Raw genomic sequence first — 13,362 nt, forward strand, 5'->3', positions numbered from 1 at the left:
CAGTTATGATTTTAAGTATTGTGTTCCACGGCCGCTTGTCAGAACACAAAAGCCAACTGGGAGTTCAGAAAGTAAGAGGCATAAAGATTCCCTTCTTTGATTTTCATTTACCTCACTCAAGTCTTTGGTGGCCCCAGAAACACCACCCTCCCCATACGTGGGAGCTAGAAAGCAGAAATAGTGCAGAGATTGTCTGCTATGTAAATCAATGAGAGCGTGGGTGAATCTCCCATAAAGAAATAGACCGAATGATGTTAAACTGAAAGGTAACGAGGGAGGAGGAATGATCATTTGTAAAGAGAAAAGTGTTGAAGTCTCTTTTGCCTGGCAAACATAAATACCCTAAAGAATAGAAAACTGTGGGTGGATGTGGGGCCTACTTAATGTGAATCCTACATCAGGCGTTTGTAGGTGATATAAAACTCTGATGTGCTGTAAAATTTATATCGCTCCCCAAAATGATGTACTGGTAGAACATATAAATTTTGCAGAAACTGTTAAAGCTGTCATAAAACCTCATTACTACAGATACAGTATGTGTTTCAGAAATACACACCAAAGCAGAGATTTGTAATCATTTCAGTGTGGTTCATAAAAAGAAGCACATTGTGTTTCAACATCCAAGACACTGCAAAGATTCCCTACCTCCAAAGGCCTGTTTTATCTTACTTTGCATACTTAAAAAAGAGACAAGCAGAGACAAATAAACAGCCTAAATATTTAAACGCATGCATTTCCTTATATGCCCAGTTTGTTAGAAAGGTGGGAGTAAATGATTATTTTATTACCAAGTTCACATAGAGTTGTTGGCTCCGTTTAATAATAGTCAATCTTGTTCAGGCTGAACAAACTGGTCCCTGTTGGGGGGAAAGGCAGCAATAAATCAATACCCCAGATGTAATCTTGGTGTCTAAAATGCAGAGAGAGATTTTGGTGTATAATGGCACTGGTTTGTCTATTGTCATTCAGACACAAGCTGCATCAGAAAAGGGCTTGTGGGAACCTGATAAGAGGTGGTCAAAAGTGGGCCATAAATCACAGAGAGGCAGTATTCTGCTGATTTCATACACACACACTTTCTGGGGGGATGAAGTGATATATCTGCAATTTACTGCTTATCAAATTTGCTAGAAGTTTCATAATACAAAAGCCTGACTTTCAGTGAATAAACACCATGGTTGACTACGAGCTTCTGCTGAGTAAGTATGGCACTCCAGCCATCTAGCTGGGAAAGCCTTTTGATGACCTATTTAACAAACTCCCTTTGATTGTGAGCCATGCAGTAGAGAGTTTTACTCATGAGCACCTCCTTGAACAAGGAGCCAATGGTATTTATTGAAAGAAACTGGATACTTCATTCTAGGAGAACTAATGGACTGAAGGAATCATATGGATTCCACACTTGTTCAACACTTGTTAGCATTCTGCAGATCACTGGACCACAACATCTTCTCACATAACTGGAAATAAGAGGGGTAAGGAACCAAGGAAGTGGCTGCAGCTTAGGGAAGGGAATGCAACTTTTGCAGGCAAAGAAGTAACCACCCAAAGAAGAAGAACAAACATGAGCGCATGCTTTCAGTCCATTGTGCATTAACCTAGAAGTTGGAATACTTTTGTCTCATATTTCTTCCAGGAAAAAATTTGAAAGCACTGAGCATTTTTTGAATGCAGCACTTTCAAAACTTACTGATATGTGATCCTAGATTTAATATAGAATGCTTCATCTATACTTAAAAGTGCATCTAAAAATAATACATCTTTATAATTTCACGGTGTTTAAGGTAAGTCTGTGGCTTAAAAACATCTCCACATTCTCTTCTCACTCCCAGATTGAGTGAATCTACATGTTCCTTAATATAGTCTTTCCCTAGTTAAATGTTTTCAGAGTGGATTCACATTTTAAAATAAGTAAATTTATGCTTAAAAATTATTTACTAACTAAAAGGAGATACCATAAAATATGCTTTTTCAAGCTTTGATTTTTGATTTAAAACTGAGTTTTTAAAATGTCTTGTAATTGTGCAAATAAAAAAATAATTTACTTATCTTTAACATAAATGTTATATAGTTCTATGTATCAGACACTCTTCTAGGTGGTAGAGGTTAGTAGTAAACCAGACAGAAACAATCCGTGTCCTCATGGAGCTTACAATTTAGTAGAGGAATATAGAAAATAACAATGACATAACTAAAGCATGTATATTAAGAAAATAAATACTAGTAAGAACATAAGCAGAGAAGGTGTCTAGAGAGCACTGGGGTGAGAGTGGGAGTGGTAGTGGCATATATATTATTTAAATTTTAGATACTCTCCATTAACCAGGAGTTTTAAATTCCTCCCTCATGAACGCTTTACTCATGATAATATCTAGCACTAGAAGTGATCCATTTGAAGCTCATCTTCTTCTTGTGCCCTTTTCTACCCATACATAGAAGAGCCATGGAAAGGCCAACAAGGCAAGAAAATGAAGGCTATGCTGTTGGATGCCCAGGTCAGCTATTTCACTAACCATCATAGCACCTTTTAAAGACCAACTTGATAATTGGGTGCATACAAAATATTAGTACTACTACTACATGCACATCAGTTACTTAGAGTCTCAAAGGGTATAAGATGTTCCATATAACAGGTTTTCTGTATGATTTTTTTTCCTTAGCTTCTTGGCAAAAGTAGAAAGATTTGGGTTGTATTCTTAATTTAGCCAATCTGGATTTTGTTCCATCTTCCTCTATCTGGGGAAGCATTGAATAATGCCTCTGGGTATAGAATCTTTTGAAAGACTACTTTGTACTTTATGACCACATATGCTTTTTATTCAACTCTCTAGAAGGAATTTTAATAAGTATGATGCTTTGGCTGAAGTAGCACAAACCAACTCCCCATAGCTTAAATAAGGATTTTCAAGGGCTCACATAATTGAAAGTCCAGAATTGGGTTGGGTATCAGGTGAAATGCCTTCTTCCTCCAATTCTCCTCTATTTTCTCAGTTCCCACCTTCCTCCCTGTGTTGGTTTTGTCTTGTGGTCTTAAGATGATCACTGCCACCAAAGGCTAAGATGAAGAAAAGGAGAGAGAGAGAGATGCACAGAGATTTCTCTTGGATTTCTTTTAAGCGTGCAGAATTTTCTTTCTCAAATGCTACTGGAAGACTAACTTACCGGCCAAAGTTATCTTAATTCAGACCACCTCTCAATCAATTGCAAGCAGAAACATTGGATAATTGGCTTAGACTGAACAGAGCCCATCTCTTGACGGGGACCTTGGCTTAATCATCTTTGTAGGTGACTCAGGGCTAAACACTATGGTTTGCCCATAGTGGATACTCAACTATTTATTTAATTTATTCATTTATGCAAAGTAATATCAAACACCTATACTGTTACAGTTCTTAACACTAGGGATTTATCAGTGAAAACCAAAAAGCTCCTATTCTCATGGAACTTGAAACCTAGTAAGACAATATACAATAAATAAATAAATCAGGTGATAAGTACATTATTAAACCTATTGATTCAAAAAATATTACTCAATTCAGAGAAATGAGCAATCAGTGGTAGGTTTTCTAGTGTCCTCCTAAGCCAGATATGAGTTGAACACCTCTCTTGTTCTAGGGCCACAGCTGATATATAGGAGACCACCAAGAAACACAGAAAAAGATACTATGGAACCATGTTCAAATCACCACACTTCTGGTTTCATGATCTTATTACTTAGACCTATTTGGCCATCACCTACACTTGTGAATTCAGAGTCCTGATGGCTTTGTATTTTGTAATTCCTCCTTGATAACCTGTTGTTCTCTAAGCGTTTCCTTGTCTGTGGGGACTCCTCATCCAATGCTGGCTCAACTGACTGATAACTGGGGACCACTTTCTAGTTCTCCCAGAACTGATGTTATGACCATACTAGGTGATCTGCTCCTTAATCTGACAGCAGTCTTGGGAGGTTTGTAGCATCATAATTGTTTTGAAGAATTGGGGAACCTGAGCCCATGTGAGTCAAATGACTTGTTCAGTATTATACAGCTACAAAATCTCAGGAACATGATTCAATGCCAAGACCTCTTGAGCAAATCAAATATGAAATACTGCCCTGTTTGTGAATGTTTCTTATCATGTTCAATATTTCTTATCATATTAAAGTATGTCTCTCTTAAGACTGTAGAAACCGTGTAATATACACCTCCTTTCTTCCCCACACTTCTGGTACCTAACAGTATTCTGAGAGTAAAGCAAAATCTGCTAAATTGGTAAAAAATATTTTGATTGATAAATGATTGACTTCAAAGGATGTTTTACCCATGTGAAAACAACACGGTGGTAACCATGGAATGATATTTTTCAAAAAGAAAAGTAAACAATTAGCTTTAACTAGCTGACAGCAAAGATGTTCAAATAATAAATGAATTTACTCTGATGGTTATGTAGATAAATATTAATGTGGTCTGGAAACATTTCCATAAGTTACATGGACATGAGTTAGCTCTAACAATGATACTGTAGAAGCATTAAGGCCTTTAAAAATAGTGATTAGGGAACAACATGGATCATCATTTTAAAATAACTCTTCTTCATGGCTTAAAGTACAACTGTTACCAACAATCATAACAATTCAAGTTTATGGTCATAGAGTGAGTGCACTGGCAGTTGCTGGACTGCCTGGCTCTCACATGGGACACAGCAACTATCAATCTGCCTCTACCATTCAAATAACGTACGCCCACCACAAGTGCCTCTCAGAATTCACACCACCCATGAACAGTCATTAACTTGGATGACCAGCACGCTGCTCAACCAAAATTAAAAAACAAAATATTTAGTATACTTCAGTATGATTTAGTACCTACAAACATGGTGGTCATAAATCAGGAGAATTTCCCCAACAGGAAAGACATAAATCTTCCAGCTCCCTTTTAGAAATCAAAACAGCTCATGCTATGGCCCAAACTGTCATGGGATCATGAAATTGTAGTGCTATGGGAACCTGGAACAGTGTGTGCACCCATTTCTGTCCTCTTTTAAGAGGTCCCCTTTCAACAAGTACAGACACAGGAAAGACATGTTAGAGATCTCCAAAGAAGGAGTTTTTAGCAGTTTATTTGGTTTCTTTAATTTACAAAATGCAATTAAATATTATATACATGTTCTCATGTACAGGTCCTCTTCCAACAATTAACATAAAACTGTTTTTAGTGACTCTTAGGTGTACAGCTGCTGACACAAATGGAACTTGAACCGCAGAGTGACTGAAACAATAAATTATTTCTTGCTCAAATAACAGTCAAGGCAGATGTTTCTCATTGATGGTGGTGATTTTCCTCCATCTGAAGAAACACATGGTGGCTCACTAACCAGGCTGACTGGGGCTCTTTCACCTTCAACACAAGTTCTTTTTCATTCTAGTCACCCAGAAGGGCTTAGACCAGTGTGTGGAAGATTTTCAAGGAACATGTCTGGAAGTGATTTCTGTTACTTCCACTTGGGTGCCATTGCTTAGACTCTGTCCTGTGGTGAATGTAGCTGCAAGGGAGGCTGGGAAGCATGGTTGTGGCTGTGTTCTCAGAAAGAAAAGAAGACTATGCACAGGTGGCCATCCCTATCTCAGTGTCCTTTCCTCTACAGAAACTTTTCCCTGAATTATCTGCATTTTGTGTCTCATTTCCCTCTAATTATTCCCAAGTGCTTATCTGTGTTTTCATTTTGGCACAAATTTTTATTCTACAAAGTTAAGATTCAGCAGTAAAGACAAAAGGGCAGGGAGGGAACTTACTCTGATATATTTCTTTCTCAGCTGATGCCTAGAACTGTGCTCTAACCTTTACTTTGACTTAAAGCAGATGACTACTTCAATTGATTTGAAACAGAAACAAACACATCTTCATAGTGATCACCCATCATTTACAGGAATATTACTAAATTGGCTTTTAGTCTTCTCCTCTTCTCACTGCATACAAGTACTCTTCTCTCAAAAGCCTTACTTCCAACCGAATAACTATCTCCATAGATTACCTCTGAGTATTCCATGGCCTCCAAACTAAAACAAACCAATACATTTACTCCTCTTCAGCAATATTCATCATCATCATAAAAACACATAGACGATATTTCTGGAAATTCATTCTCTGTATGCTGAATGTTTCCCAAGTTTGCTTATAAAAGTTCTCATAAAATCTCTGTTTATCTCATTATGTCTTTTATCAGTATGACAGAGAACAAATCTAGGTTCCATATCTGAGAATAAGTGAGAAGGTGTGATAGATTTCCAAAAGAAATCAGTGTGCCTTGGTCCCCTTTAGACCCTAGAGACCATAGGCCCAACCAGGAACTTGAGCTACCCCTCTAAGGGACCCCATGAAGACTCAGCCAGAGTGAACTATAAGCTAAAGAAGTTGATGGCAGGACACCATAAAACCATATTTGAATGTTGCTCCAATTACCCTGGAAGCTGTCTTGGGTGCAACACATTCACTCAATGGAGTGCCTCTGTATTTTATGTACTTTTCTGCCTACAGTCACTTATGTTAGGGAGGAAATTTTCCCCATCCAAAACTTTAACATTCATCAAAAAATTAAGAATCATTATTCCAGGCATTTTTTGAGGGCTTCATTTTATTCCACCATTTCTGAGTGAGTAGAAAGCATTTTCTGAAAGTTTTCCTACCCTATTTGTCACTTACCAACACTTCACCACTCTTCATTTTCTTTCTCTTTGTCTGCTGAATTTCTTTCTTCTCCCTCTAATGTATGGGGGCTAGAATTGGTCCAGGGAAGGGAAGAGAAAGAGAAACCTTAAAGTGTTTCATTCCCAATTCTTCGCTTTCCCCTGTACCTCACCTGTACTGTGAAACTGGCCACGGGGAGATGTTGGCCTTCTCCCTGTCATCTTCCCTTGCTCTCCAAATTCGTGCTGCCATCTGCACGAATGGATCCCACATAGATTTTATCCTATAAAACTACAAGATCTCCAACTGTCAGTAAATATGTTATCAAGGGGTTGCTAACTGCTGGAAATTTATGTTAAATAGTACCAATCTCCCCCTCCTTTATAGAACAGTTGCCTGCCAGACTTCTAAACTTAAGGAATTCATGAATTAAGATATATATTCATGCTGAGAACAGCATACTCTTAAGGTTACAATACTTACCAATCCTACTCTATCATCATAATTTGATTATCTCATTCTTAACACTGCTAAGAGTCAGTATGGTGTTGAGGTGGAAGTAAATGGTTTTTATTTTTGCATCAGAGAACCCTAAGTTTCAATCCAGATTGCAACTTAATGACAATATAACTTTAGGCGAATTGTATATCCCCTCTGAATCTCAGTTTCTACATTTGTAAATTGAGGATAATAATTCCTACATTGTTGTTATTACTTATAAGTAGGAGCTAAATATGTGAACACGTGGACACAAAGGAGGGACAACAGACACTGGTGCCTACACGAGAGTGGACGGTGGGAAGAGGAAGAGGGGTGGAAAATACAACTATTGGGTACTAGGCTTAGTACCTGGGTGACAAAATAATCTGTATAACAAATGCACGTGATACAAGTTTACCTGTATAAAAAACCTGCACATGTACCCCTGAACCTAAAAGTTAAAACAATAATAAAAATTCCTGTATTATAAGGATTGTTGATTAAATGACAGAGAGTGCATGCCGTGCTCAGCATTTTAAAGAGACTCAGAACTTTTCCTGGCACTAAGGACATCTTTAGGGCAGTAATCTTGTATCTGATCTCTGTATTAATAAATGAATGAATGAATGAGTGAATGAATGAATTGATCTAGTTAGTGTTCAAAAAATTTTTTAAGTTTAATCCATAACAGATAAGCATGGCATGTCAGTTATGCATTGTGCATTGTGTAGCCTTAAGGCAGACAGACACTATCAGCTAAATGAAGCAAACTTTGAGTTAAGATAAGAAAAGTCACAAAATATACAATCCATTGCCCAAACCATGCTTCAAAACTATTTGTTGAATGACAGCTGTTTCTGCAAACACCAGAGTCTAACTCCCCAGTGAAAGAGAGAATGAATGCTTTAAATATTGCTTTGTACACTCCCCTCTTTGATCCTGTAGTATAAGGATACAAAAAAAGATATCCAGATGGATTACCATAAAAGTCTAGAAAAAATGCACTCCACCTCATCCCCATAACCCCCATAAAATTACCTAGAATATCAGGTCAGAAACTCTAAGGTAATTGGAAGCTGTTTAGAACAAACTGAAACATTCTAACCAAGAATTCTGATCATTAGAAATTGATTTCTTAGCATTAGTTGAACCTGTATCTCAGGATGAGGAAGATAAGACTGCTTCCAGAGTTTCCCACCGCCTGTATTTCTATTTTGTATATCATAATCTGAGTGTAGAATACTTTTAATCATATATTGAATAACAATATGTTTTCTGACAGATATAATTTGTTCTTTTATGTAAGTGTTTTGAGGACGCTTTCAATATTCTGACCTATGATTTCATTCTATTCAGGGACAGATACTCTTCCTACAGACTGAATCTCTGACCTTTACAGTGGAATTGAACAGTGTCATAGGATTCACTTAACAAAAGTGTTGCTGCAACACAAGCTTTAATGGAACCTTTCACTGAACGAGGGACACCTGTTTTAATGTTGTCTTGATTCTATTTGCTGATAGAAATGGAAGTAACAAAGATACAATAACTATGTCTGTACACAAATGAAACCAAGCCATTTCTCTTCAATGGAGACAGTCATAAAATGAAGGCAAAATTGAAACATTTCACCTTTTACTTTTCGGTAAAATTCTCCCCATACTTATGAAGACAACATTTCAATATTCTGCCAAAACTTACAATGGAGTCCATTCTCATCCCCTAATTAACCCCTCTTAAAGTCTTCCAGCATTCTTGAAGTCTCTGGAGCCGTGCTACTGCTTCCAAGTAGCTAATGTGCTGTTATTTTACAACACTCTGCCAGAGTTGCTTTTGCTCAAACAAGAATCCTACTGGCTTTACCATTTGGCTGCCTGTAGTATGTAAAAAGAAAAAAAAACCATAAACCAGATGGCGGAAATACAGAGTAATCTGTTTGGGAAGCCCAGGTTATAAATATGTGCATGTTGGGAAAGGGCAAAAAGTTGAGGTAAAGCAGCTGATGCAGCTTGCAGGCTAAGCTCCAGTCATGACCATTTTTAGACTAGTGCACTAAGAGATGTCTATATATTTATTTTCTATTATATTTTCCCTCTCCTGCTCAGGAAAAATCCACTGGGGTTAACTGTGGATACTTTCCCACACTGGAAACCAAACTGAATCCTGACTTGGAAGGTTTAGCCAATGTTTTATCTGCATAAAGACATATTCTTCTGCTGGGATGGGAAGGGGGGCAGTGAGGTGTTGGGACTGGGGCACATCATACAGTTACTCAACCTGCTCCTTCCTTCACCATTCCCCAATATATATAAGGATCTCTCCTTATCCCAACATCTACATCCAAGTGAACTAAGGTTAAAGTGAAAATAAAAGTTAAGCTTGAATGAACAGATGCTCTAAATCAGAGCTTGTGTGTGTGTTGGGGGCTGGGGAATGGGTAGGAGGGAGATGCAGTTAAGTAAGGAAGAATGAACCTTTACCTTTGTGCACACTTCTCTCTCTCTCTCTGTGTGTGTGTGTGTGTGTGTGTGTGTGTGTGTGTGTACAGGAGACCATTGCATTCATATGAATAGCAAGATCTTTCATGCTCCAGCTGTTGAATCACATCATTCTCTGCTTCTATGGTCTTCAAGAGTTGCAACCTGGCCACCATTGATTAGCTCAGGCTATAAAAAGATTCTCTTCAGTGATTGTACTGTTGTGCCTATGTGGTGTGCTTTTTAGGTACAGTAGACAGACAGTTAAATGGATGTGGCCTGCCTCCTTGAGATTCGTGCACTAGAACTAGCACCAACATTGCAGTCAGACCTTCTAAAAATCTACAAGCAACTGCACACCTTAGAACCCTGCCCTTACCACTCTAAGGAAGAAGCTTGAACACACTGTGCCGTAACTGTAGCACTCTCAGGCATATAGCCCACTGGGGGAAATGTTGATGACTCCGATCATTTCAGTTCTTCTCCAAGGGTTCCTGGGATCTCTCCCAAGCACTCTCAAAGACCTCTTCAGAATTCCCTTAGCTGCTTCCTGGGGCTTTCCTCTCCTCTCTTCTCATTACTCCTGACCTCCGCCACTGCCTGATGCTAGTGGCTGCAGCTACATTCCCATTTTTCTCTCATGACCTCAGCCATGCTGGTATAATCTCACCGGGTCTGCTCCCACAGCTGCTGCGTGAAGGTGAGGAGAGAATTCTCTTCCCACTGGCTTTATTCTTTATTGTTAAAGCACAAATGAGAGAGCCATGTGCTTTCAGACTCTTCCAGCACTCCTTTAATTGTTTCTATCTTTCAGCTTTTTGTGCTTTCCTCCTCTTCTTGGGGTTAATCACAAATGCTGAAGAGGTGCATTGGGACAGAATTCAAGGGTCAAGGCCAGGGTTACAGCTGTGGCCATTATCAGCCCTCTTATTTGAGCCTCCCACTAGGGTCCAATGGCCTCCACCTTCCCACCAGACAGGGTGTCCAGGGAGTGCTTATACGGTTTGCAGGACTCTTCCCTGGGAGTAGCCATAAGCTCAAAGAGCCTTTTCAAAAAGTTCTTTGTCCTCTGACATGCTCAGTTTTCAATGATCTTATAGTTTAAGCTGATGTTCTTGCATTCTTTCAATGTAAATACTCCTTACAGATGTTCCATGTTATTGTTGAGGGTTCACTGTGATTAAGAGACAGTCAGCCCTGCATAAAGTTACAGTACAAATTAATTATTTATGTTGGTAAATAATAAATGTTTATTCACATTAACTTTAAAAAATGGGGTATTGTCGTAACTTTAAAGTGTTTACAAAGACCAACTGTCTAAAATATCAAAAAAAAAAGAATAAAGTCAACGAGCAGCCTTTTAAGTTCTTAGGAGACTCTCCATAATCCTCTTAAAAACTTAAACAGGTACTCAAGACCCACAGCCATTTGGTGCTGGGTTCTTCTGCCTCTTGAATTATCTCAGCAAGATGAGCTCTTGCTCACCTTGGCTGAACTGTGTTCACCCAAAATTAATATGTTGAAGCTTTAACCCTTAATGTAACTGTATTTGGAGGTAGGACCTTTAAGAGGTAGTTAAGGTTAAATGCAGCCATGAGGGTGGGATCCCGAGCCAATAGAATTAGTCTCTTATAAGAAACACCAGAGGAGACTTCCTCTCCCCCCCCCTCCCCTCCCCTCCCCTCTTCCCATCTCCCTCTCCTTCTCTCTCTGCTCTGAGAGCCACAGAGGAAAGGCCATGTGAGGTCTCAGCAAGAAGGCCATAGTCTACAAACCAGAAAGGCAGCCCTTACCAGAGACCAACCCTGCCAGACCTTGATCATGGACTCCTAGCCTCCAGAACTGTGAGAAAATTAATTTCTGTTGTTTAAGTCTATGGTATTTCATTTTGGTAGCTCGAGGAGATGAATACAAGCCCATCAGTATGTATCTAGTGTCTGCTTCAAACAGGCTAAACAAATCTACATTTCTTCCTTTGAAGGAAGAGAAGCACAAAATCACATTCCAAGCTATCTTCATAAAAAGCAGCTGAAGAAAGGTAGCATGGGTGAGGTGGGGTATAAAAGACATTTAATGGGCCGGGTGCGGTGGTTCATGCCTGTAATTGCAGCACTTTGGGAGGCCGAGGCGGGTGGATCACGAGGTCAGGAGATTGAGACCTTCCTGGCTAACACGGTGAAATCCCGTCTGTACTGAAAATACAAAAGATTAGCTGGGCCCGGTGGCAGGCGCCTGTAGTCCCAGCTACTCGGGAGGCTGAGGCAGGAGAATGGCATGAACCCTGGAGGCGGAGCTTGCCGTGAGCCGAGATGGCGCCACTGCACTCCAGCCTGGGGACAGAGCGAGACTCCGTCTCAAAAAAAAAAAAAAAAAAAATACATTTAATGTAAAGCCCTAATCAGAGGCAACGTGTAAAAGCAGAGAAAGCCAGATATCTTGGAGTAGGGAGAAAAAAAGGTAATTTATCAAGCCCCATAAATGTTCATTTTAGAGCCAAATGCAAGTCTTTTTTGTCTGAGAACTATTTCTTGTTTACAGAATGAAGTCTGCCCTATCTTGCAGTTCATTTATAGCTACAGATTTGGGAACTGTAGGAGAATTTTCAAGGCAGGCTTTTTCTACTTTTCTTGCAAGTCTTTCCACCCTAGTTTAAAAGAACACAGAAGTCTTTCAGGCCTTTACCCATGTAAGAACAGAAGAATCTCTTTGGTAAAGAATTGGGTAATTGTCTCTGTTATATCTCCGGTGTTTCTTATAAGAGACTAATTCTATTGGCTCAGGATCCCACCCTCATGGCTGCATTTAACCTTAATTACCCCTTAAAGGTCCTCCCTCCAAATACAGTTACATTAAGGTCCTTTGCCATCATGTTTCATGCCTGGATTCTTCAGTCTTTGTAGGACAGTCCCTTCCCTGTGTGGAAAGCCATATATACTATTTTATTTGTGTAACTTTATCTTTCCATATGTAGATAAATTACAAATCTGTGTTTTCATCTCCATTCTTCTAAGTTTAAGCTTCATAAGTCCAAGAGTTTCCTAGATATTTCTAATAGACTATCACATGTTAGCCATCTCACACATCCCATGTCCAAAATGGAAATCATATGTTTTCCCCCGAATTGTTCCATCTCATGTATTCTAAGACTATTTGATGACTCATCTGTCCCTCAGTCTCGCAGGCTAGATAGAATTCTCCAGGACACCTTCAACACGTCTCACTTCTTGGCTGTGTTCAGCCCTATGCCCTACAGTCTACTCAGTCACCAAATACTTCACATATGTACCTCAAAACTTTGCTATCCATGCTCTCTCACCATCACTGCCGCTGCCTTAGCCCAAGTTTTCTTAATTTATTGCCTGGATTCCCCACAACCTTCTAGTTTATCTCCCAGCCTCAATGCAACTGTGACTAGTGCTTCCCTACTTAGACTTATATTTCACTTGAGTTCCCATTGGCTTTTATCACAAGCTTTCTCCTGAAATTATTGTTATCACAGTCACCTGTTATCTTTAAATATGAAATCTAATTAATTCTTCTCAGACCTCATTATCATGGTTCCCTTTAGCATTTGATGTTGTTGTCTGTTCTTTTCATCAAAGCGACTGCACCCAGATCTTGGACCTATTTTCCCCGGTTATTTTTCTACCTTATTATTTTTTCCCATCTCCTCTGTCGGTTCTTCTTCCTCTGCTCACCCTTTAAACTCTGGAGCTCTGGAGAGCTCTGTGGTCTTCTCT

General features: G+C 39.2%; 1 long non-coding RNA gene across 1 annotated transcript in view; it reads left to right on the plus strand.

Moving 5' to 3' along the window:
* The first annotated feature begins 11,356 nt into the window (after nucleotides 1–11,356).
* Nucleotides 11,357–13,362, plus strand: part of LINC01828 (long intergenic non-protein coding RNA 1828) — a 202,799-nt gene continuing 200,793 nt past the window's right edge. Inside the window, exon 1 of the long non-coding RNA NR_110564.1 lies at nucleotides 11,357–11,466. This is a non-coding gene — a long non-coding RNA (long intergenic non-protein coding RNA 1828). The remainder of the gene's footprint in view (nucleotides 11,467–13,362) is intronic.

This window comes from Homo sapiens, chromosome 2, assembly GCF_000001405.40.
Source record: "Homo sapiens chromosome 2, GRCh38.p14 Primary Assembly".
Lineage (NCBI taxonomy): Eukaryota > Metazoa > Chordata > Mammalia > Primates > Hominidae > Homo > Homo sapiens.